Raw genomic sequence first — 26,924 nt, forward strand, 5'->3', positions numbered from 1 at the left:
TGGCACTTGAGTGCTCTCCCCACACCTCTGCTCCCCAACCCCCAGAGCCTTCCAGGGTAGGCAAGGACATGGAGTAGTCTTGTTTCCCAGAGAGAATTTAAATCCAGGCAAGAATTCATCTTACAGTTGGGGCCAGTTGTTGAAGAAGAAAGGTTGTTTTTGTTAAGGAAGGTCAAGGGTCAAGCCCCATGTGGGAGAGGCTGGGATGCAGGGGGTTGGGTAGGTGGAAATTCCATCAAGAAGCTGGCTCTGAGCTCTCTTCCTCATCTGTGGCTCTCAACCTCACCTCCATCTCCCTCCTCTGTATCCAGCGAAATTGCCCATTGGGCTGTGCTTGATACTGCCACGCCCCATGGAGGGCATCTCAGGGCTAAATGCTGGTCTGTACCACCAGGACAAGAGGATGTCTCCCCCATGCAAAGGCCAGGGGACCATGCAACTCTCTGCTTTCTCGTTGGGCCGTCCTGTGACAGGCACAGGTGCCATCGATATCACCTCTGTGCTCTCCAGGTGCCCTGTGGATGCCCCTCGTCTCTCCTTAAGAGTTTTCCAATGTATAACCCACAGCTGGGAATCCAGGTCCAGCCCAGCACCCTCTGAAGTGCCAACTCAGGGTACCTGGGAATTGTGCACAGAATTGTGTGTGTGTGGGTGACTTCCAGAGGCATGGGAACTCCAAGTACGAAGTGAGCCTCGGGGGTCATGGTACTTGCTGGCTGACTCCTCGTTCCCTGTTCCCATGGACTCTTCCCTCACTTTTGCCCCCATCAGCTCCAGTTCTTGAATTTTCCTTTATGGGGTAGAGCTTGGATGGAACCCCTGCTGAGACGCTGGCAGAGAGCTGGTAGCCCCCGCTACCTGGGAGGTTCTGATGGTCACTGGTGGAATCCAACAGAATCAGCCAGAGCTCTGCCAGTTGCCCCCATGGAGGAGCTTACCACCAGCTCTCTTCCCAGCACCTTAAGGACAGCCAAATGGAGCTGCTCCTGGAACTCCCCGTCAGCCTCCCTGCTTAGCTCCCCAGGCACTGGACTCGGCACTGTGACAGGGAGGGGAACTAAGGTGACCCCTGGTCTCGATAAATGTGGTACAGGACAAAGACAGACAGACTGACCCACTGTCCACCCCTTAGCTCAGATGCCACCGGGAACGACATTGGCAGATCTGTTTGCTTCCCCGGGACATCTCGTGTCTGTCTGTCTAGGATGTCGACGGTCTGTCAGTGTGAGATTCAAGGTGCAGCAATGCCTTGCAGACTCCAGCATGGATGACCAAGTATCATCATATGCTCAGCATTATAAACACATGTGCATGACAGTTAGCACATACTGAGTGCCCATGAGTGTGCATGTGGGTAATGAGTGTTTTCTTGTTGTTCAGCAGAGGACGAGGTCATCTCATTAGTGTTGGGGGAGGAAGACAAAAAGGAGGCTCTTTCTGGAAAGATGGGGGTTCTTTTGGAAATCTGGATGTAGGGAGAACAGACAGAGACTTTCTGGACTGGGGATTGAGTGGATAAAGTCTCAGGGTCAAGAAGAGGGAACATGGGGAGTTCAGATAGAGTGTAGGTGGGCTGGGCACATGCTGGGCCCCCAGAAGATGTGGGACAGCCATTGATGACAGTGTCTCCACTTGGGTGTCACCTGTATCAGTTTCCTAGGGTTGTTGTAAGAAATTGCCACAAAGGTGGTGGCTTTGAACAGTAAAACTGGATTCTCTCCCAGTTTTGGAGGCCAAGAGAGGCTGATGCTCCCTCTGGACTTTCTAGGGGTGATCCTTCCTGGCCTCTTTTGGCTTCTGGGGCCTCCAGCTATTTCCTGCTATTTCCTTGGTTTGTTGCCTCATCTACGTCTTGTGGCCTCTGCCTACATCTTCATGTGGACTTCTCCCTGTGTCACTGTGGGTCATATCTTCTTCTGTCTTTCTCTTATAAAGACACTTGTCTTTGGATTTAGGAGCCTCACTAAACGTGGGCTTATCTCATTTCAAGATCCTTAATTTGATTACTGCTTCTGAGACCCTTTTTCTAACTCAGGTCATACCCATCCACAGGTTCCATGGACTAGGACCTCAGGGCCACTATTCAACCATCCTTACAGGTTTTATCCTATCTGTGAACCAACAGAAGTGGCCTTAAAATGTGTTTGTAAACAAAAAAGGCAGGGACACACACGGACACTCAGTGCACAATAATGCACATCATCTGGGCTCTCATTGTTTGTAAATCATTTTTGCAGGAAAGTTCTATTATAAACCTAATACAATTAAAACAGAATTGCCCCGGCCACTGCCAGCAGGACATGCTCCACACTTGGGGGAACAGTTGTCCAAGTGACCACGGGTAGCCTCGATGCTGATAGCTATGGGGCCCACTGGCTTCCCTTCAGGAAGAAAGCCCAGTGGCCGGCGGGATGGGGCTCCGCGGAGCCGCCATATGTGAGGATTGTGTTTGTTGGAGCTGAAATCCGTCTGTGGCCTGACTTGTCTGGCTCACACGCTGGCCCTGAGCATGAGGCTGTGTCAGCTGCAGCAGGGACACCTGCTCCTCTCTCCCCCTCCACAGGGGACACAGTTCCCAACGTGTTCCATGGAAGTTGGCACCCCTGCCTCATCTGCAGCTTATCCTGCATGCTCATGGTGACCCTGGGGGCCTCAGTGAGCAGAGAGCCCAGAATGAAAAGCCCTTTCACCCCTTCTTCCCTTCAGCCTCAGGGAAGGGTCCTGCACGCTCACCCCATGGACTAATGGAGGAGTCCCAGAGATCCTGAGCTCCCTCCATGTGGGGGAAATCCCACTTCCATAAACATCCTGTTTCAACATCAGCATTTCATTGCTTTCTTCACACCTAAATCCCAAGAGCAAACTGGGGGCACCAATGAATGGTGAATAAAACCAAATCCCCCCGTCTCTACTAAAAATACAAAAAATTAGCCGGGCGCGGTGGCGGGCGCCTGTAGTCCCAGCTACTCGGGAGGCTGAGGCAGGAGAATGGCGTGAACCCGGGAGGCGGAGCTTGCAGTGAGCCGAGATTGCGCCACTGCAGTCCGCAGTCCGGCCTGGGCGACAGAGCGAGACTCCGTCTCAAAAAAAAAGAAAAAAAAAAAAAAAACAAATCCAAGGAGAAAAAAAAATTCAGAAACAAAACCTGAATATAGATCTAAGAAACAAGTGGCTTTCCATAGCTCAGATTCCTGCTGGGAACACAGCTCCACCACCCCATCCCCTTACATAGGTAATAAGGCCCCAGCAACAGCCTGGAATGGTGACAAATATCTATGCTTTCATGTTTGTTATTTGAGCATCCAGTTGAACCAGGGGCCTAGGTCCCTGGCTCCCATTTTCAAAGGCCCTCCTCTCCAGCAATTAGGAAGGACATGGAGAATGTCCACTGCAGGGCAGCTGTGAGCTGCAGGATGTGGTAGAAGCCCTAGCCCAGAGAATATCAATCACTGCCTGCTCCTTATTGAAGTGTCAGAGAGGGAACCGGGAAGGCTAGTAGGGCAAACCAGCAAGCTGGGGTTGACAGATCATGATGGACACCATGGAGTTGGAGGGTGGAAGAATGCTTTAAAATAAATACCACTGGAAATCAAAGGGGCACAGGGGTTTTATTACCAGCACTTGCCAATACCAATATTTCACAGTAGAGTGACAGGCACTCTGAGGGCACTGGGTGTTTGAAGACAAAGCACTGTCACTTCAAAGGAACCCAGAGTTGAGCCTGGCGGTCCACCACTTATAAACAACTTTCTCGGGTCTCCTTTGACCTGGCGCGTCCTGGATGGAGAGATCAGAGCTGCGTCCTCGGTGAGGGAGCTGACCTTGTGTGTGTGTGTGTGTGTGTGTGTGTGTTTGCTCGTGAGTGTGCCTGTGTTTTTTTCTTTCTGAGGAGAGATGACCTGTTTTCCATGGCAGGACAATGATGGGGTAATCTGTTTTGGGTGACCCAAAGGGCTGTAACTTGGGGAAACTTGGTAGAATCCAACAAAGAAATTGAGAATGACCTTTGTGTAGGTGGAGGTGGGTGGGATTTCTCAATTTAAAGGCAGAGAAAAACTTTAGATACTAATCCTTTTAGGCCAGCTAGAATCAGCAAAACATTCAGAAATAAGAAGTCATGAATACTTGTGTCCAGGGACTGAAATAAGATGTGATAACTGATAATTTTGTCTTCTTTATTTTTTGGAGACACTTCCTGTCAATAACTTGGGAGGATGATGGAGAGAGAGTTTTTTAAAAAAATATTTTTAAAAAAGATGTTTAATTTCCCTCTCTCCTAAACTATTCCAAAAGCATGGTTCTAATCATTTGAATTAACAGATGGCTTGGCAGTGAAGTCATCTGTAAGCAGAAGGCCAGAGGAGTTATGAAGGATAAAGACCTACCGTGTAAGATTGTACATCGATTGGAGTCTGTGAGACTGCCCGGACAACTGAGTCTTTTTTCCCTAATCCTAAATCCGGTAGTCCATTCCATCCAAGTTTCCAGCTAGTGGGTGCAGGAAACTTGAAATTTCTTTTTAAATATCAACTAAGGTGTATTTCCCAGGCACCCCAGGCTGAGTGTGACTAAGAATGGACAGAAGTTTTGCCGTTTTAAAGAACATCCTTCCTCATTGCATTTGCTTTAGGATCAGGGCTGAGGGGTGCACTTAATCTCATAGACTGGGGCTGTCTCATTGAAGGGATTGGTAAGAAAGTTCTTAGATATCAAGTCATTGATGTACCAGGGAAAACAGGCATCTACCTTATAATCCAGATGTTCTTTATGGAGCACTCCAGTCATAAGGTTGGCTGGTTAGGTGGGAACATGAGAACTTTCCCTAATAGACTGACTGCTGGTAAATTTAGACCCCATTCAATTCTCTCTCTCCTTGCCTACCATCACATCCATCCATGCCCTTCAGATTAATTTTCGCAATATCATGGAAATTGATTGCTAAGTGAAATTGCAAATTGTGCTCAAGATGTTGCATTTTGTGAAACTGATAGAAAAGACCATTGGCAGCCTGCTGATTCACACCCATTGGCAGAATCAGACTAGGTGACAAATGAACAAGAGAAAAGTGACAAAGATGATAACTCTAGGAGAGTGACTTGAATATCAGAGGCTTAAGAGAAGTCTTTGGAAAGATTGATAAAGCTCTATAATATTTTTTTGGGGGTGGGAGTCCTTCTTGATGACCTAGCAATTAAAGTAAATGCGAGGTAAATAGTCCATTGGTCTACCCTACAATTTTATGTAAAAATGTATGTCCTCATCAATACTTGACTACGTTTTGTTGATTTTTAACAATTAGCTCATAGTTTGCCATTATAACCTCCAAAATGGAGGTTTATTTTTATTTTATCGTTGTGGGCATATTAGCTTATTTTCACAACTTTTGGTTTTGTCGTTTTTCCAGATAAATTCTCAAAGTCCTTAATACTATTCACTGTGAAATTGTGGTATTGCGAATTAATTGTGAATGAATTCATTTTAGGTGGCCTTTCCCCTGTAGCAATGATCTCAACTAAAGAAGACCTTGTTTACCAAGCTGCTAGGTCATCTCCTCCATGTTTGCATCCAGGGGCCTAGCAATGTAGCCGGTCCTCAATAAAGTTTGTTGAATGAACAATTTAACAAACATAAGTTTCTTTACCTTGAGGTTCCTGAAGCTTAGTTTCAGGTGAAAGCACCAGCAAAGACCAGCCCCCAAATCTTTGAGCATGAACAAGAGCGAGCATGCCACTTGGAGTCTTGGTTTCTGATTGTGCGTTGTGTCAAAAATGGAAAAATCCAGTGGGTTACCAGTGGGATGGCAGTGGAGTAACCGCAAAATTCAACTCTATGGAATCACCATTTTCAACCTTAGGGGTCATCTTATGTCACCTCCGTTTTATGGATGGAAGCTCTGGGGAGGTAAAAGTAGTAACCGAACTGCGAATGTCCTTTCCATGCCTTTTAACCTGACGTCCTCTCTCTCCCACACTACAGTGGGGCCATGTTGTAAAGGCTGGTGAGGTTTGTTTCCAAAGCTGGCCCCCAAGGCACAATCCCTATTGTCAAAATTATCTTTGAGAATCCTGCAAATCTATCATAAGGGTACGATTTGTTTATACAACTCTGAACAGAAATTCTCGTGCACAATATGCGTGAGGACTGCTGAGATGAAAGAAGGAAAGAAAAAAGGCCATCCATCCATGCAGGCAGCTTTGAAGATAAACAGCAAATCCTCCCACTGAAGAGAGGTTAGAAAAATTCCCACGTGTCCCTGCTTCACTGCATGGTGTGTGCCATTTGGTTTTAGCATTAAGCCTCTAAAACTGCTGTGACATCTTAATGGATTGAGTTGTTATGGTGAGGATTAAGCAAGATAGTGGAGTTGTGTCTTCTTGGGTCAGGGAAGGGTGAGCTTCAACAGTCAGGGTGTAGGTTAAATGCATGTGTGATGGGACTGTGCTGCCGTTTCATTTCTCACTTGGAATGCCTTTCTTACTCTAGCATAGGAACTGGGGGGCAGTTTTCCACTGGACAGCTACTCCATGTCATCTTGAGTCAGCTGGTGCCACTCAGTCAAAGACCGTCCCTTCTAGCCCAAGGAGAAATTCACAGCAAATCATGTCTTGAAAATGCTCTTCCCACTATTTTCCCAGTTAGAGTCTCACTTAGGAAGACAAGCTTCGCATGTATGTGTGTGTGTCTGCACATGTGCTCACATGCTCTTGTGTCAGTTTTCCATTAGAAAAAGCAATTGAAAATTACACATCCATATGAAGGGTGATGCCACCTAAGCAAAAGCTGCCGAAGATTCTCTGTTGTGGTTACACAATTTCTGATGAGGTCACTGATCTGAAATGATTATTATTCAGAATGTAGGGAGGTAGGGGGATGAAGGCAACGTCATTGATTTTGTTTGTATTTCAACTGGGACATCCTGTTCTCTGTGATCCTAATGCCCATCAACATACAGCCTTATTATCATTCTCCTAATATGACAGTTATTGACCCTTGGGCTGCAAAAAATAATCTCATAAATAGATTTTCCCTGTTTTTATATTTATCTGCACATCTCTTTCTAGCCGATGACATATCAGCTTTGTAAAAAATTATTATTATTGAAAACCTCTGTGCTAAAAGTTCCATTAACTGAGACCTGTTCTATTTACTCGAATGCTTGGGTACATTAAAACATTCCGTGGTATAAAGAGTGCTCTTATATATTTCCTTAGAAACACATTTTGCGGAACTGAATGGAGAACATTGATGTGGTTGAGGTTAATTATTTGGGCTTTTGCTGGGCACATTGGAAGTCGTGCCGCTTCTCCTGGTACACAGACTAAAATTGGAACAGTGAAGAGGAGCTGAGCATGGCCCTGTGCCCAGATGACACATCTGAAGTCTTATTGATTGAGGGAGATGTTTTATTGAACGATAAGAACTACATTGAGTTTATGGTTTTGCAATTTCCTGCAGCTGGCATGGTTTATAACAGTAAACACAGCAAGGTTCAGGGCTATATTTCCAATGGAGATTTTAGAAAACTCTCTCAATAACTAAACTCAGGAGGCACTTTCGATTTAGGAAGCTCATATGCATTTATTCCCTTGGACACACTTGTGATGAGTGACTTTTATCCTCTTTTGGCAGATGGAGAAACTGAGGCTTAGAGAGTTGTCCAGTGACTTGCCCAGAGGCACCCAGATGATTGATCTGGGGATCAGCACTGAGGCCTAAATTGAAATCATCTAGGTGCCACCTTCAGAACTTTTGTTGCATCTACATGTCACCTATGTGATTCTTTACTTATTTTTTCTCCTAGGTGCACTTACAAAAAAACTTAAGTCCAATTATTTCAAGAGAAGCTGTTTATCGATACTGAAAATGAAAAGTTAATATTATGTGCCATTAAGGGAACATGGCAAAAATATAAACCCTACAATGTTTTTGGTAAATAAGTTCTAGCCAGAATCTGTTGTGAGCTGAAGTCCATGAGCCCTAGGAATACCCCTTCTGCTAAAAAGAGATTTGGAAGTGTTAGGGAAGCATTCAAGATGCATTAGCACCTAGTCGAGACTTTCTTCTCTCCTTAATCAGAAGATTAAAAGAGAATAGAAGAGAGAACAGCTTCATCATTGTGCAATTCAGTTTTATTTAACTTTTTGCTTATCAATCACCTAAAATAACCACCAACCCCCACACCCTTCCCTGGGCCCCTCTCTTGGAGAGCCATACCCCCTTTTTTTCTGTCAGTAGGATCCTCATTGGCTTGCATTGTCTCATCTAGAATTTTCTCAATTTTTGTAAGGCTTTGACCTGTATGGATTTAAACCACTGAACCAATTCAGCAGAATTGACTGCAGAGGCCATGGGCAACATTCTGCAAAGACCCTCCTGGAAGAGCCTTCCCTTCTCTGCTTCACTGGGCTAGGGTGAGAGGCACTTGCCAAGAGTTTCGGAGGCAGCCTGAATCCCTGCATTTCTTATTGATTGATTGACTGAGATGGAGTTTCACTCTGTCGCCCAGGCTGGAGTGCAGTGGCGTGATCTCGGCTCACTGCAACCTCTGGCTCCCGGAAACCCTGCATTTCTAAGATTCTGGGACACTGATTGGGAGCCCATGGTGGGCATGCTGCCTGTGCCAGGAGGAAGTGGTACACACATGATAGAGAGATGGCCAGTGTGCCAGGGTGAGTGGGGGACAGGCACATGTGCAGTGGGGGCTCACAGGATGGAATGCGTGATAGACAGATGGCTAGTGTGCCAGGTGCATGGGGGACGGGCGCAGGTACAGTGGAGGCTCACAGGACAGGGCATCACCTGCAGGACTTCTCAGGCCTCAGTCGGGGCCTGAAATTTTTTTCCTGAGAACAACAGGATTATGCAGATAATCCCATTTAGGTTTTCTAAAGATCACTCTAGACACAGAGTGGAGCAAGAATTGGGGTAAATAGAGTGGGTATGAGGTGACTGATTAGAAGACCACTGACAGGTGGGGCACTTTTGTTCTTAAAAAAAAAAAACTTGGCAAAAGTGATGCTCCACCTAGAGGGGCAAAAAAGTTAATTATTAGTTTTTAATTACACGTGTAATCATGAATAATACTTAACACATAAAAATGCAATAGATAAGGCTGATGTTCAGTTTCACCACTACCCCATCCCAATACCATCCTCAGGTAAAATGACAGTTTGGAGTCTGGAGTACATCTGACAGATCTTCATCTCTGTGTGTGTGTGTGTGTGTGTGTGTGTGTGTGTAACACAGCAGCAGCACACTGCACATCTCATTGCACAACTTGCTCTTTTTACTCAAAAATGTTTTGTGGTTCCACACTGTGAAAACATGTAGCTCTGTCTCAACTTCCTGAGCAGGGACAGAGTCCCTCTGGGTGGGAATACTCTTATTTATGAAGCCATTCTCCTATTAACGAAGAGTTTGGTCATCACCAGTGTTTCACACTTGCATCATGCTCCTTGGACACACTGTTTATATCTCCTTAGCCCAGGCAGGGTTTGCTCTAGGGAATAACCAAGAAGAGAAATTGCTGGGTCTTTGAGTGTTGTGTTGCACATTTTTAATAGCCATTTTCAAATTGCTTCCCAGTTTATACCCCTACCAGTAGCATATTAAATACCTCTCTTTTCCTCCAGTTTATAAAACTTTTTCTTCTTTTCCCCTTGGATGAGTAAAAGATGCTACCTTCTATGCCTGTGGATGGGAGGGCCTTTCCAGCCCTCCTTGATTCTCACTAGGGGTCTGTTATCCATTCTGTCCGTGGAAGGCTGGCATTCTCTAGTAGAAAAAAAGAACATGGAGGGACGATAAGACTCGTTTATTTATTTATTTATTTTTTTAAATCACAGAGAAGTAAGTTTCTCTTGACCAGATGTTATGTCCACTGGGCACAATTTGATATTCTCACCAAATATTAATAGATGTGTTCCTCAGCAGAGGCACGATGGATCAGCCTGCTCTGGGGGGACTCTGTCACTGCAAAGGACATCAAGGCCTTCCTCTGTGCCCAGCCAATTCATTAGACCCAGTTAGCAATTTGCAAAAGAGATGAGTTGATCTGCAGGCTGCCAAGCCCCAGTGTTACTCAGCTACCTCCCAGAAAGCTCAGAGAAGCCCTGGCCTCCCAGGAGCCTGAGAGAGCAAATAGTAATATGTGAGGCTTTAGGCAGAGGCTGAGCAGAGTCATCATTCCTCATTATAAACAGAAGCCAGAGAGATGAATTTCTCAGCCCTTCCTGGGTTAGGGTGGGATTTGGGGCCATAGTCCAGACTCCCGGGATAAAATGAGAAGGCTCACAAAGCTGGGGCTCCCAATATGAGAGCAGTGTTTCTTTTTTCAAGCTTTTATTATTCCCAAACAGATTCCCTGGTTATCTTATTTTGAAATGTTGCTACTGGAGGCAGAACTTTAAACTCTGCATGCCTGTATTAGGAGGGACTCTTTGAGGTGTGAGGAAAAGAGGCTTGATTCAAATTGGCTTAGACAAACAAACAGAACCCAATTCATTATCTCACAGAACAGAGAGAATTGCTTCAAGCTCAGCTGGGTTCAGAGGCTCTGCAGGTGGGTGTGTTCGTCTCTCTCCATCTCTGGGCAGCTCTGGTCCTGCCCAGCTGTTCCATGCTTGTGTTAGCGTGACTGTTTTTTTTTTTTATATATATAACTGAGTCCCTAAACTCAATCTAACTGGCCTGGTTTGGTCATGTGGCTGTCCTTGACCCTGTCACTGGGGATGTTGAGCGGCCAGGTATGGGTCCTGCACCTGTCCATGTACTGAGGGTTGGGTTGGGGCCATCTTTTTGCTACAGCCATTAAGAGGAGGCCAAGGAGGGCAGATCACCTGTGGTCACGAGTTCAAGACCAGCCTGGGCAACATGGTGAAACCCCCTCTCTACTAAAAATATAAAAATTAGCCGGGTGTAGTGGCATGCACCTGTAGTCCCAGCTACTTGGGAGGCTGAGGTAAGAAAATTGCTTGAACCCAGGAGGTGGAGGTTGCAGTGAGCCAAGATCGCGCTACTACACTCCAGCCTAGGTGACAGAGTGAGACTCTGTCTCAAAATAAAAAATACAAAATAAAAAGAGTAAATGAGAGATGGTTCCCCCTAAAGAAGTGGGGGTCAGGCAAGTAATCACAGCAGATGTCCCCTCTTCCTCCATGCAGACATGGGGAAACCATCTTACTCATGGCTTAATGCAATTAGGTATGCATTTGTGAGCCACTGAGTGTCTTTTGAAGCCCCATGAGAGGAGAGGAACAGAAGATGGCTTGAGCCCTCACCTCAAGGAGGTTAGGAACCGGTTGGTGGACCAAGACACCTTTGTGAGACAGATGAGAGTCACGTGGCCTGAGGGTCCCAGGTAATTACTGGGGCCTGTTCTGTGCCAGGCAATGTGTGGGAGCAGGAAGAGAGGCAAACAAGAACATGACATGGCCCTTGTCCTTAGGGAGAGCCCAGTGTGGCAAGGGGAGCCGGCACAGACTGGTAAACAAGTCATTACAAATGCAGTGCGGTGAGCTCGCTGATATGATTAAGCTTCCAAATGAGGGATCCTGACAAGGCCTGCTGGAGCGGAGAGGGGAGAGTGTGCTAGCATAAACAGGAGCATAGCAGGGGGTGGGGCATGCTTCCGACGCTCACCCCAAAGGCTTCTCCATTCGGCCCCCCACTGCAGAAAGGAATGTCAGCAGGGCATGTGGGAGAACCGAAGGCCGTCACTCTTTATCATGCCTTCTTTCATCCCTCGATCATAAAGAATTTTTGCCATATACTCTAAACTGCTGGGAATGGAGCACTTAACTACTATGTACTTATTTATCTAAAATGCTAAGTGTTTCCCTTAGCAATCACTAATAGATTCCTGTAGAAACGGAGTGCCATGATTAGAATTCTGATGTCTGTGCCGACAGAAGGTGGGAAGGCAACAATAGGTAGTGCACTAATGATGGGTTCAGTGGGCAGGTGGGTGGGTAGGACGATATAGTCATTGAAGGAGAAGGTTGAAATATGGGCATTTTAAAGATAAATATGTGTTTATGTTAAAAGTTGAGAGAGAGAAAAGAGGAGAGGGAGGGAGAGAAACTCTCATACCTTCAATCCCACACCTGAAATGGGGACGGTTCTGCTTTTGAAAGACTTTCTGAAAACCGTTCTCATATTTGAGTTGGAAGACCCCCTTCTCAGCAGAGGGCCACAAATGAATCCTGAGTTTTGTTCTGGAATTTTCCTATGCAACGTGCTGGAACCAGTAGCCAAATAGAATCAGTGGATGAGGCAGGAAGAAAAATGAGGATCTCAGGGATGGAACTCAACAGGCTACAAATGGGACACAAAAGGCAAGACTCACTCTCAACAAAATCACGGAGGCACCAGGTGCGCCTTGCGGGGTCTGTTTCCCCGACACCCACCTGCTGCCTGGTCTTCACAAGGGGCCAGGCCCTTTTGGTTTGGAGGCAGATGAGCCTGTAGGATTAATTCTAACTAAGGTGTGAGTGGAACCTAGGGGAGAAGTAACTTTAGGGGCTACAGAGAGAAACCTTCAGTGACACTGACTCATAATGGGAAGGTGATTCTCCTCTCAACTCCCTCTCCAGCCTCTTGATCATGCCATGGAGAAAGTCTTGTTTTGATTCCATCTTTAACACTTGCCTAAACCCCTTCCTAACCTCCCTTTTAATCAGAGAGAAAGAGGTTAGGTCTCAACATCTAGCTAGAATTTGAGAACACAATTCTGTTTTTATTGTTTTTTTTAAAGAAGAATCTGCTCCTTCTGATGCCAGACACTCCAAAGTCTCCTCAACCACCTTACTCCATTAACCTTGGAAAGCCTAACGTTTCCCTTTCTCTCTCAGCCTCCTTTGAGGCCAAGGCTGGTACAGGATAAATAATTTTGCTTTCTGGATTTAGAGGAATTGGTTTGAGTCTTGACTTTTACTAGTTCTTTGGGCAAAATTTGTTCCTTCTCATTGTCTCAGGTCCTCATCTGTAGAATGGGGCTGGAGTTTCTGAGTCCATAATTCATTTAATCTGGTGCCCAAGAACCCCATGAAGCCTGTCCAGGAATACCTGACTCATTTGCCCTTGAGATTGAGGAGAGGCTCAAGTTACATGAGACAGTGACTGTGAAAGTGCTGTGTGAACTACAAAGGACTTTACAGTGTGTGGTTATCATGGCTGGGAGGTGGCAGGGGTGAGCATACACTGAATTTTCCCCCCAGGTCTGGACAAGACGTCTTCAAGCCAAAGGAGGGAGGCAGTGAATGGTGCAGGTCCATACTTTCCCCAGCAGGGAGCTCGTAGGGATTCGGGAGTACATTCTGGGCCCTTGAGTTTGTGCTACATGCATGCCTATGGTGCTCTTCCTGCCGGGGTGAGACTTGCCCTCCAGGTTGAGAAAATGACGAAACTGGAATAATCCTCCAAGCTCCAACTCGTCCCAGAGGCCTCCCTGGCAATACTGTGCTCTTGTAGGGACCCCATCGTCCTCTAGGTAAATAGTTCACACTGGCCCTCACCCCACTGCTGGCTGCTGGCAGGGAGCATGGGGAATCTGCTCCAAAAACAACCATTGCTTCCTGCAGTAGCATTTTGAGAGTTTCCTCCAAATGTTTTTCCTCATCTAATTTTCAGTATGGCCCCGTGGGGTCAGGAGGTGATGTGTGGCCAGCCCTGTCCTAATTAGGAGTCTTGCCCAAGTTCATACGTTGAGGAAAAGAAATGCAAGCTCAGTTCCAAGGTTTTTCCCTTGCTAAAACTCTTAAAATTTTGGCTTGCTTATTTCCTTAACTTCCAAAGGACATGAACAAGTGATTTTTGTACCACCCTCCACATAGACATTAGCGATCATTTTCAGTCATTTTCAGCTTTCCGGTTTTGCTAGGAGGCACCTGGCGTGCCGGGAACGGACAAAAGCCATTTTTCTAAGTACTAGCGTTTGAAATTATTAAGTGTTCGTTAAGCACCCCCGGGTGCAAAGCACTCTCAGAGATGTTTATTTCTCAATTTTCCATAATTTCCTTATTTTTTTTCCCCTACCTAAAGGCAGATTGAAAAATGAACTCAGTGCATTGGAGTCTGAATCATAGTTAATGTGCGACGCCCCCTCCCTTAACTGCGCTGTTTTCTTTCTGCCTCCTCCTGTCTCCCAGCTTATCAATCTGATAAAGTTCTTTTTAACCCCTACTCAGGGGCTGTAACTTTTGCTTTATTCCCACGGGCATGGCAGGAAGCGATCAACGCAGAGCCCCGAACCCCACTCGCCCCACGGGCTGGGCTGAGCTGGGCTGGGGGTCGAGCTCAGCGAAGCCTCGGGAAGGCTGCAGGGTGCCCGGGCGGGCGGCGGGGTGGGTGCGGACCCCTGGCTGGGCGCTCCCGAGACCCCCCTACCCTGGTGGGTGGGCGCCCGGGGGCCTGGAGAGCCGCCTAGCCACGTGGATGCTTCTGGAAGAACACAAAGCCCGGGCCCCCTCCGCCCCCGCCGGCGCCAAGCCTCAATCTTGCAGGAGCAGAGAAGAAAGGCTCTGTTTTTCTCTCTCTCTTTTTTTTTTTTTGTGTGACAACAACCTCACATAACCTCAAAAGTTACCCATGAATTTACCAAAACTTTTTATGAAACTATTTTAACCTCTGGTGGGGGTTAAAAAACAAGCCTTGTGAATTTATTACCCGGAAGAAAGCGCAGAGGGCTGGGATTTACAGCAAAGCCGCCTTCCAAGCTCCGCGGGGGCCCCCTAGCGCCCATCGCGGGCACCGCCGAAGCCCGGCTCCCTCCTCGCTCCGCGGCGCAGCACGGCCTGGAGTCCGGTCTGGGAGGGAGGCGGGCGGACCCCAGACTCGTGCAATCAGGGGCACCTGCTCTGAACACCAGGGACCTGGCGGTACAAATTTATTTTATGTTCGTAGGGGTTTCCGTGGTAGAACCAAGGGAGCAGGCTGAAGCCGAAGGAAGGGAGAGCAGGGTTTTGATCCTAGTTCCTTGGCTTCTGCAAATCGGCTGGGACCCCCCGCTGAGCAAGCGACTGTCGTCACGGCCCCCGCACCAGACGACCCCAGCCTGTGGATGATGTTTCACTGCCCTCACATAAACGCCACCCAGAAATGCAAGAGTAAGAATGTTCACGAAGAGGGGAGGCAGGAGCCCCAGCTGATAACAGGAGGAGGCAGGAAGGGGGCCTTGGAGGAGGTCAGAGGGGGGACATTATTTCAGTTTCCCAGGACCAGGGTGAGAGATGGGGGTGAAAGAAGAAAAAGGACAAAACGAGGTGCCGAAGGCTCTATTGGGTGCTCTCTGTCCGCAGGGATGTAAAGCAGAATCCAGGATTCTGCCGCAAAATGCAGGCTCCCAATCGCTGCACGGTGACCAGGACTCCCGGACCCTTCGCTTGCCAAGTGTGTGCGATGGTTCCTTCCTCTCCAGCTTGCAGACACACTGGTTCTCTTTCAGAACTAGCCATGTTTTTTAAAAGCACATGGAAAAATGTTAATAAGCAAACGTTTTAACAGAGAGATGCAGGAGGAACGAGCCGGCAGCAGCCTCCCAGCAGAGGCAGCGGTGCTCCAGCGGCTACGGGAACGGGCCTCGGAGGAAAGCACTCGGGCTCGCTGCCGAGTTTCACCACCTGTAGTCATGTCATCCTAGGGACGTGTCTCAGCTCTTCTGTGCCTCGGTTTCCCCATCTGTAAAATGGGGGTGATAGTAACACTACACAAAATATATCTAGAATTTGAAAGAGTGCTTTGAATCATATAACCTTGGCTGTTGTGTGGTGAGGCCAGCTGGCTGGTATTCATCTAGCTCTACGGGGAAGGCAGAACCCAGATTTCACGTTAAATAAAATCTCTCAATTTTTACAGGGTGCTAATTTAAACACACATACACGCACGGACGTGCACTTGCACACATACCCCATCTGGGCCCAAATACAGTCAGCTAGTTTGAGACCTTTACTTCAAAGGCTGCCAGGAGGCCACGGGACAGGAGGGAGGAAGGAAGGAGTCATCTCTCCCTGTCATCCACCACCCCCACATCCAGGCCACTGGAGCCAAACACTGAAACCGGTGTGGCCAGCGCTCTTTTGGGGGTGGATGGATTACGGGGAAACACGTCCTTCTTTTCCGTTCCCCCTGGGAGAATATAGCAGGGCACCCACTTTGAGTACCCTCGCACCAGGAGGCCTTCAGAAGCCACCTTGGAAATGTGATGGTGCGTGGCGGGTGGGGGGACTTCCTCTTGTTCCTGGAGACCTGCTTCCCCTCCCAACAAGTGCGTGCTCTGCACGCCCGGCTTCTCACCAGCCCAGGTACCTCGCCGCCTGGGTGCTTTGAGGTGCCCATGGGCTTCTCATCCGTGGTTTGGTAGCATCCTCTTCCAAGCTGACTTCTCATGTATTCCAGGAGGCCAACACTCTCCTGCACCCTAGGGCAGAAGAGCACTGGGTGGGGGGGCGCCTCTTCTGCCTCGTCCCATCCCAGCCTTCTTTTGTTCCCTCCTGATGGCTTACCCTGATGCCCTGATCATCTGATATACTCTAATTGCCCCATTGCCTTGACGAATCCGACTGTTCTTTGCACTTCATCCAGCCCTGCTAGCTTCACTCCTTCAAGCATCCATGCATTCAGTAGCTGTTTGCTGGGCAACTGCTAGGCATTAGACATTGTTTCTTGAGAGGCAAATCAGGCACATTCCTCTGACTTTCGATTGTTTCTTAAAATGTTGAGGTTTTACAGTTGAACAGAGAAGGTTTAATAGTCGTTCAATCTAATCGAGAAAGCAACAACAGGAATTACTTGCTACAGTGATTCCAAAAGGGCAGCCCAGAGAGAATACTGAGAACCAAAGACATGTATTCTCATTCATCTTTGTCCAAACAAATTAAATATGTTATTGATTTTTAAAAGTCCCTGCATGAATGGTTGAAAAGTAATTGGTTTTGTATGTTTTAATATGAAAACAATATTTTTAAAAATTGCTTCCTGGATTTGTAGGGTTTTTAAATTTTGTGATTTTTTTTTTTCCTTTTTCATTCTGTAGAGTAGAATACTGCATGCTTTTAACTGGTGGGGGAAAAGCTCTTTATTAGTCTTTTCATTAGTCTATATCTGTTGTGTTCCATTGTGTTTAATTTCAATTAATCTGGATTCATTTAAGTAATATTCCATTATAGGTTCAATGCATGTATATTTTTTTTAACTTAAGAAATGGGGAACATTTTTTGGTCAATTTTAAGTAACTCTGCATTAAAGCTAAGAAAACCCACTTAACGTGGTTTACTCTGGAAGTCTCCTTGAAGAAGAAGTTGTTCTTTTTTATTTTGTTAGGTTTTGTGTTTACCTTTCCCAATCTCGCCTTGGATTTTCCACGGCTGGTTTAGCAAGACTTGCTTTGGTCCTGACAGCTCAAGTCTTTCAGTGCTTCTGAGGACGCAGGGCATATTTCTTCTTTGCTTCCAGTTTCACTACTCAATAAATTTGTGGAGTCACCAAGCAGTCATCTGTGTAGTTTGATAAGGCAGAAAATGATGATTTCTCTATTATTTTGCTTAGAAGGATGAGAAACTAGATTAATCAACGTCTGTTGGAAATGCCTCTTTATAGAAAAGACTGGCTTCTTTCATCAGAGTCATGATCTGTGGCTCATATGCAGACACATTAGATGGTTTTCCAGGGGACAGGAGCAGACGATCAAACTCTGAATTTTAAGTCTGTCATTAGATGACGTGAGGTAAACTTTAGTCAACCTTTATTATGGTTAGGAGGGTGGTGGGGGCCAGCAGGCCTCCATGGAGTTCACCCATCTCATTCTCTGGGGCATCAGGGAAATCGTGCAATGTCTGTAAGAGTTAGGAGAATGGTGTGGGTTACCATTCTTGGTAGAAAGAGACTAAAACCCAGCTCAAAAAGGTTTAAGCACAAAAGGGAATTTGTTTGCTCATGTGATGAAAGAGCCCAGGGTAGCTCCAGCTGGATCCAGGGATGTAAACAATGTGACCAGGTCTCTGTTGATCCCTCTTCAAATCAGAGTAGACGTTCCTTTGGGTTGCCTTCATCCCTAGGCACATGGTGGCCTCATGGCCCTGGCTTATATTATACCTACTTTCTGTTCAAAATCCCATCATCAGTGTGGGTCTTATGCCTGGCCCCGAACCTTCTACTTGGCCAGGTGGGTGGAATATGCTCACTCCAAGAGATGAAAAGGAGTGGTCATAAGTCACCCAGCTTATATTGAGGAGGGATGTTCTCTAAAGGAGAACTGAGGTGGGGCATGGCTGCTGAACACACAGCACAGATGTCGATCACAACCTGACCTGCTTCCTAATGGGTAGAGGTGCTCAGTGAGTTGCTTGGCCAGCAAGCTGCCTTCTCCATGTTTTGTGCTACAAGTGATGTTGGTAGTGGATGCTGTTGGTGTCCTGTCTAGAACCCCTCTCCACCAGGCCAGGCCTCCACCCATTCCCATCTTTTTCTTACCCCTCCCTGCTTCCCTTATTCCCTCCACATTTTTCTTGAGAGTACCCCTTTAATAAAGCACTTTCACAAGAGCCCAAGTTATATGTAAATCATGAAATGCAGCTCTTTCTCGTTCATGCCCGATATAAGGCTATCACCTATTTTCTCAACACAAAGACTGAAAATTTTGGGGCCAACCCGAAATATATAAAGATGTAGAAGAAAAAGGCAAATTTCTACTGTAGTTTATTAATCTAGTTGCCTCTGTCCCTTTAAATCATGTGTTACATAAAATCTTAGTTTGGGGACATTATGTTTTCTGCTCACATTTTGCAAAGCAATTCTAGCTGAACTTGTAGCATGCATCTTTGATAATGTCTTTGTCATCATCACCAGAGCCACTTGTTTGAGTCATCTAATGGAGTTTTCAGAGCGTAGCATTTCACTTTCATCCCAGCTCTTTGAGATTTAGTCCTTTTAGAATCCAAGTACAATGTCATAATAGAAATCTATCCATAGCCATAAGCACCCATTCACCTGACATTAGGACAGTCACTTTCATTTCTCCCGTAGGTGCCTATTTGCAATTTCCAGCAAATAAACATGTTCTCTTTTACTTTTTAAATCAGTCTTTAAGAGACTTGTTTACAATAGCATCCAGTGCTCGCTTATAATTGTATCCCAAATGCTCAAGAATAATGACTAAATTTGTGTTAAAGGTTCCCCTTCCGTCACCTTTTTCTAAACCAATTTTCTCAGATGATGTCTATAAGTGACCCAGACCAGCACTGAATGGCGTCATTTCAGGCTAATGTATCTTCCCAAACAGTATTATGTAATTCAAAATGAAGTAATTGAGAGAGTTCTCTGTAAAATGGGAGCCTTTGTATGAATTTGATTTTTAAGGGAACTATTTTCTGAGATAAATTTTGGAGGAAAAATCTCTTACACTGAGACATATCTGCTCCTTAGTGTCATAGGTGCTCTGAGATCTCATTAGAGGGATTGAAATGGGACCAACTCCACTTGCTTGACTCAGATGTAACATTTGGAAAGTAAAATAACATTTGGCTGGATATGGAGAAATGCCTTCTTTATTTTAATACAAACAGAAGTAGAAAAAGACCTAGTATCTAATTGGAGGATCCAGTCATACAGGGATATTTGGGAGCAACTCTATCTTCTCATGCATTATTTTAAACAAGCATTTGTTTTAACTTTCATTGTTTTGAATACCCTCAAACTTCAGTTATATTGATTCCTCATCCATATTATAATTGGTTTCCATTGTCTTATATTATGTAATAAGAATAGTAGTAGGAATAGTCTTAGCTAACACCATCATAAACACCTCAGTGGGGTTTATGTTTCTGATGGATCAGTCACTATTATGGGCCCATTTTTTTTCTCTTTTTGAAAAAAATACAAGCGCCATAATGATAGTCACTTTAAAGATGAAAAAACATGCATAGAGAAGTTAAGTGACTTTACTGGAGGTTACAGGAAAAGCAAGAGCTATGAATCTAGGAAGTTTGACTCCAGACCCTTGTTAGGAAACACTGGGCTTTCCATTTCAACCACATAGGTTATAGTGATAATTGCAAATAAATATTCAGAAAAAATTTTCATAAAAATATGCATATTAATCATCATAAATATATAACATATGCATGTTATATATCAAAGGGACCATAGGCATATTTGTAACACAGCAGTATCTGCTTTCTATCAAATGTATGTTTACCTGTGATGTAAGTTAGATATTGTTGTGTAGCAAACCACGCTAAAACTCAGTGTCTCGTGGCAACATGTGTTTATTACTGCTCATGGATCTCTGAGTCACCTAGGTATTGGCTGGTTTGAGCCAGGCTCAGCTGATCTTGCTGGGTTTGCTCATTCATCTGTGGAGCCAGCTGGGGGAAATGCTGGCAGGTTGATGGGAAATTGGCTGGTCTAGGATGGCCTCACTCACAGACATGGAAGTTAGTTGGCTGCTGACAGCCAACTAACTTCCATGCTGCCAACCAACTTCCATGCTGCCAACCAACTTCCATGCTGCCAACCAACTTCCATACTTGTGAGTGATGCCATTCTAGACCAGCCAGTGGGTGTAGAAGACCAGCCAATGGGAACATCCTAGGCCTAGTGAGGCCATCCTAGACCAGCCAACGGGGGTGAAAGAACTTTATGTCTTCCATCCTCCCACGAAGGCTGGGCATGGTGACAGAGAGAGGAGAGAGAGAGGGCAAGCGAGTGAGCACAGCAGCACAAAGGGCTCTTTAAAAAGTGATATATATTAGTTGCACATTTTTTGCAGTCCATGTGATATTTTGATACCTGCATACAATGTGTAATGACCAAGTCAGGGAAATTGGGATTTCCATCACCTCAAATGTTTATCTTTTCTTTGTGTTGGGAACATTATAAATCTTCTAGCTATTTTGAAATATACAGTAAATTGTCATGTAATTTGAATTTCATTACTGTACTATCAAATACTAGATTTTATTCTTTCTGACTATATTTTTTGTACGCCTTCACAAGTTTTTCTTTATCTGCCCCTCTCCTTCCCTTCCCAGCCTCTGTTAACCACCATTCTACTCTCTACCTCTGTGAGATCTACTTCTTTAGTCTCACGTGAGTGAGAACATGTGATGTTTTTCTTTCTGTGCCTGACTTATTTCACTTAACATAATGACCTCCAGTTCTATCCATGTGGCTGCAAATGATAGAATTGTATTCCTTTTTAATGGCTGAATAATATTCCATTGTGTATACATACCACATTTTCTTTATCCATTCATCCAGGTATGGGCTCTTAGGTTGATTCCACATCTTGGCTGTTGTGAATAGCGTGGCAGTAAACATGGGAGTGCAACTATCTCTTTGGTATAATGATTTCCCTTCTTTTGGCTAAACACCTAGCAGTGCAAGGCCCTTGAGACCTAGATTGGGAACTGGCATGGCATCACCTCTGTTGCATTCTGCTGGCCAAGGAGAGTCACAAGACCAGCTGAGATCTGAGGCATGGGAAAATCAGCCCCACCTCCTGATGGTCCTGATGGGAGACCCTGAAAATCACATTGCATAGGGCATGAATACGGGGAGTGGTGAAGAATGGAAGCTCTTTTTCCCCAAGCAGTCAACCATACCTTCTACTTTAGGCATGTGTAGCAATTTAGAACACATTTGCTAGAAACTTTTAATAAACAAGTGATTTATTTTTCCATATAACAAGGCGTCTGGGTATAGGTGGTCTGGTTACTATAGCTGGTCCAGGATATTACCATTGACCTAGGACCTTTCTCTGTTCCTGCCCCACCCACCCCTACTCTTTTCATTTAATTTTTTGGGTGGCATGATCGCAGCAGCAGGGTGAGGCACCATGCTTGTGTTTCAGGCAGGGGGGAAGGAAAGAACCTGAAGCCCTAAGGGGTATGCCTTTCAAAAGCTCTCTGGAGGGCTTCCAGCAATTCCTCTGTACAGCTCATTGTCTAGAACTGGGTCACAAGACTAGCCTGGCTTTGGGGAATGCTGGAGAAAGAATATTCTAGAGGGGCACTAAACATCACTGGAGTCTTACTGGTGAGAAAGAAAGGGGAGAATGAGGGTAGGTTGACATCTCACAGTGTCTTCCCCCAGCATGTAATACTAGTTTTCCATCTGAGACAATAATATAAAATTAATTTTTAAAATAATCTTATTTAAGTGAAAAAAGGAATTCATTAAACACTTGAATGTAATTACTAGTCTAAATCATACGTTGGCAAACTTTTGCTGTAAAAGACCAGATAATTAAATTTTTTTTGTCTCTGCTAGCCATGCTGTCCTGTCGCAACTATTCAATACCATTGTGGGGAGAAAACAGCTACAGACAAAAATGTAAACAAATGGAACCCCACCTCTACTAAAAATACAAAAATTAGCTGGGCATGGTGGCGGGTGCCTGTAATCCCAGCCACTTAGTAGGCTGAGGTAGGAGGATCGCTTGAACCCAGGAGATGGAGGTTGCAGTGAGCTGATATCAAGCCAGTACACTCCAGCCTGGATGACAGAACAACAGAGTGAGACTCTGTCTCACAAAAATAAATAAATAAATAAATAAATAGAAATAAACAAATGGACATGGCTGTGTTTCAATAAAACTTTATTTAAAGATAAATGGACATGGCTGCATTTCAATAAAACTTTATTTACATAAACAGAATGCAAAAGAGATTTGGCCTGTAGGCTATAGTTTGCTGATGCCTGGTCCAGATAATTTGCAGATATAACAAAACAATGAAGGCTTAATATTTGGTGGTTGACAGACATAGCAAATTTACCAAGGAGATATGGGGATAGCCAAAGTTTAGGAACTAGGCTAAAGTTTAGAGCTCACACTGTAACCTTTCACATTACCATGGTATTAAGTACAATACAGTTTTGGCACTCTCATGAAGACTGAAAATGCCAATGAGTTTAAATAGATACATAAAGTTTGTTTCTCTCACAAATAACCACCGGGTGAGAGCAGTCTGGGTCTATTATGGAAGCTCCATTGTGTGCTGGAGGCCAGGTTTCTTCTGTCCTGTTCCTCTGCTCTCTTCACCATAGGTTTTCCCCTTATTTTTTTGTGGTCAAGGATGGCTGCTCCAGCTCCTGCCATTAGATCGGCATTCCAGCTGAAAGAAAGAAGAAAAGAGGAAGGAGAGAGTACCTACTTCCCTGTAAGGACATGCGGTGGATATTGCATGTATCACTGCCTCTCATATCGCTTTAGCCAGAAATGAGTTACCCGGTCATACTTAGCTGTAAGGAAACCTGGGAAATGTAGTTTTCAGCAGAACAACAATGTACTGTAGCTGGAAAATAGGTTCTTATTACTGAGGAAAAGGATCAGAAATAGGCAACTTGCATGCTCTGCCACATGAGCTAGAGATCTAGATAAGGTGAAAGTCCACATGTGTTTTTCCTTAGAAAGACTAATTTCAGTTTGTCTTCATGCCAGAATGACATTTTCCAGGCACCACTTTCAGGCTAAGATTTCCCTTATGCTTCAACCATTAGTCTCTCGAGGCAGTAGTAAAATCTTATTCATTATTGTGCTCCCCAGCACGGTGTAAAAAGTCAAGTTAAAAAAAAATGACAGACTTTTAAATTCTAGTTAGAGAAGAACGTCTTTTTGCTTGTTTGTCTGAAGAAAGTAAGTGATACTGTTTCAAGAGTCTTATGCCTAAGCACCCATGTTCCATGTTCATGTTTATGAGCCTGGAGATGCACACTGCTCTCAATTTCTTCCGCTTTCAAACATTTCTGTTTGAAACCTCTCTGCACTTTCTCCCCACTGTCCGCCCCTTGCCGTTTGTAAAAGAAGGAGCAAGGTCTCCCCTTTGTCAAGGCAGCTATGGGTGCTGCACCTGGGGAGGTTAGTTTTCTTCCTTGTCACTTCCAGTCAGTTATGGCTGCTTTTCCACTATTGCCCACTGAAGAATTCTCAAATTATATGGTGAGCTACGGTAATAACAGAAGTAAAAACACCTTGCTGTGATTTACACAGAACAAGGCGTGAGAGATTGTCACCACTGCATGAAGTGTCCCATTATTTGTATATATTTTGCTGTTCCTTCCCAGTGGACCCCACTGATCACTGAGGGAGATCTTATGGATAGACCCGTACACCCTTCCAGAAAGTTAATAGTGTATGTAACGAGAGAAGAGAAACTCTGGCACAAGGAATACACAAACCTGGGTTGGCTCTCACTTTCCGTTACAGCAACACTCCCTGCTGAAACAGGGCTGAAATGTATGGACACCTTTAATCCATTTCTTCTTGGAAATACCTTCAAAATTCATATTTAGCTTTTAAAGGGAACTACCTTTTTAAAGAAGAAAAAAACCGCTTGATAAGTGCAAACTGACATTAAATGGAGTTTAAAAAATGATCAGGGTTTTAAAATATGATTATAATCAGTGAGAATAGTGGAGCAGAGTCAAATCATTATTGATCTCGCTCATGGGGGTAGGAGGAAAGAACTGCTGTGAATTAATCAGAAAAGGAGATTTTCCGTAAAGCCTGTCCATCTGTGAATTCTCCCCAGAGTCCGCCTCAGCCCTGGGACCCCCGAGACACTGGGCACTTAGTTAACCCTTTGATAGACCTTCCAACAGGATCTACAATCATATTAAAGGAGAAAACATCTCTGTGCAGGGATTGTATTTGAGATTTTGAAGTGGAAAAATAGTCAATGGTATAAGTTTTGGAGTCAGACTAGTTTTCATTCATTAATTTCAGTAGCTATCTCATGAGCATCTATTTTGTACCCCACACAGTGTTTTAGGTGTTGGAAAAACTGATGATCATGGCAGATGACTCTTGGAGCTGATATCCCAGCTAGTGGGAGATGAGCCACGGACCACAGATGAGTGAATCAGATAACAACATACAATGATGTCATAAAGACAGCACTAACAGGAATAACAGCCCCACATTTTTGGAGCACTACGTTTCAGATCCTAAACTCGGTGCTTGTAGTATCAACTCATTTAACTTTCTCCATCTTTGTTGCAGGAAGTTCTGGGATTCCTCTCATTTTATAGGTGAGGACCCTGAGGCACACACACACACACACACACACACACACACACACACACACACACACACATAGAGAGAGAGAGACAGACAGAGACAGAGACAGACAGACAGACTTGCCCCAGGTTACATGGCTTGGTGTTGGCAGAGGCAGGATTTAAACCCAGCAACTGGCTCTGAGGTCCAGGTTCTTAGCGGTTGCATTGTTACCTGCCTCTGCATGAAGTTGAGAGTCATCATTGTTTTTACAACCCAGAGGCTCAGGAGCTGTTGTCTCTTCCCTTCCCATTCAGTACTGGGCACAGGACAGTGGCTGGCGCAGTGAGCTCACCCAAATCATGGCCAAGGTGCACCATTTTGGCCTAGGTTCTTCTCCCAACATTTGCCTTTGGGTCCCTCCTGGTGTGGTGGGGGAAAAAATCTGAGTAGCAAGAACACAGGTGGCCTGAGAATGAAGGGGAACTCAATAGGGTCTGTTTCCCCACTGGACAATAGTAAAGCCAAAACGCAAAGCAAATGACAGACCAACAAACACACACAAGAAAAAACCTCAGTCTTATCAGGAAACAGCAAAGAATTGAGATTCTGTGAAAGCCAAAGCCTCCATAAATGATTATTTCAGTGGAAGGAGAGTAAACAAGTGGCCATCCAACCTCTTCTCCATCCAAAATACCTTGCATTCAATAAATATGGAAGTATCATGTCCCCTTTAGGGGACTGTGGCCATTTGAAAGTTTTATTTTTCAGACCTACATCACTCCTCTGCTTTATCCCAAACACATGACAGGAATCAGGACAAGAACCTTAAAGAATTTTCTCAAGCCCTCTCTAATTTTCTTGGGGATCAGAGCTAACAACTCTGATCTGACAATTGCATGCCTGCTGTTGAGGAGTTGATCCTAGGGTGGGTCACGCATGCATGTGCACACAGGCATGCAGCCACCCTCATCCCCACCTACTCGAAAGGAATAGAAGAGAAAACAACCCCGATGGGCCATCCTCTCCTGTCTGCTTCTTCTACTTCTGATGATGAGCAGCTTTTTCTACTATGGGCTTTTAGGTTCCTTTCTAAGAAGAGAAGTCAGCCAGGGCTCATGGTGGGCCACCTTGGGGTAGCCACAGAACGTAGAGGGGTGCAGTGCTGTTGGCAGGTGGGGCTTGTCTTTAAGGAACAGCCTCACCTTGCTGCACATGCTTTCATGAGAGTTTCATTCCTTGGTTCTTCCTGTCTTTGCAGAGTTGTTGGATTGGTTGTCATGGTTGGTATTAAGAACTGCTTCATAATAAGCAATAAACATCTTCCAAACTAGAGTTTAGAACAATATCCAGGGCCATCTTGATGGGTGTGTGACCAAGGTCCCATGCTCAGTTTGATGCTCCCCTGTGTGGGCCTGAAATTCTTAATAATGTTGAGTAAAGGCCCTCCATTTTCATTTGCATTGGGCTCTGCCCGTTAGATAGTTTGTCCTGACAGTACAATACCCCAAATACTGTTAAAGAAAGTGGCTTGAAATGAGAGAACTGAAAAAATAATGTGTTGATTTCACGGCCTATCAGGGAAGGAATGATACCCTGACGGTAACATCCTAGAGGAAGAGCTGTATTGTCCAAGTCCCAGAGAATAAGGGAGACAGTGTAGACTTCCAGAAGGGTTTTAGAGACAGTCTAGGTTTTGAGACACTCAACGCGACAGAAGTGAAAGATCCCCCCTGCAAACACAAATCCCTTCCCCAAGAGAAAGGAGTTTTCATGATCCTTTGAAGAGCACCTAAGGAATTGGGCAGTTGTTGTTTTTAATAAACTTTTAATTTTATAACAGTTTTAAATGTACAGAAAAGTTGTAAAGATACTACAGGGAAGTCCCATAAACTCTGCACCTAGTTTCCCCTATTATTAACATCTTATATTC

At 45.0% G+C, this 26,924-nt stretch overlaps 1 protein-coding gene across 11 annotated transcripts in view, besides 1 other annotated feature; it reads left to right on the plus strand.

The window, feature by feature from the left end:
* The window catches only part of ZNF831 (zinc finger protein 831), a 135,726-nt gene that overhangs the window by 84,569 nt on the left and 24,233 nt on the right, over window positions 1–26,924 (plus strand). The gene's annotated exons all lie outside the window — the stretch shown is intronic.
* Window positions 14,636–14,705: a silencer, noted in NCBI's record as "silent region_13089". NCBI's record gives its function as "represses an Ori minimal core promoter by ATAC-STARR-seq in GM12878 lymphoblastoid cells {active_cell/tissue: GM12878}" and the evidence as "EXISTENCE:reporter gene assay evidence [ECO:0000049][PMID:35858748]".

This window comes from Homo sapiens, chromosome 20 (assembly GCF_000001405.40).
Source record: "Homo sapiens chromosome 20, GRCh38.p14 Primary Assembly".
Classification (NCBI taxonomy): Eukaryota; Metazoa; Chordata; class Mammalia; order Primates; family Hominidae; genus Homo; species Homo sapiens.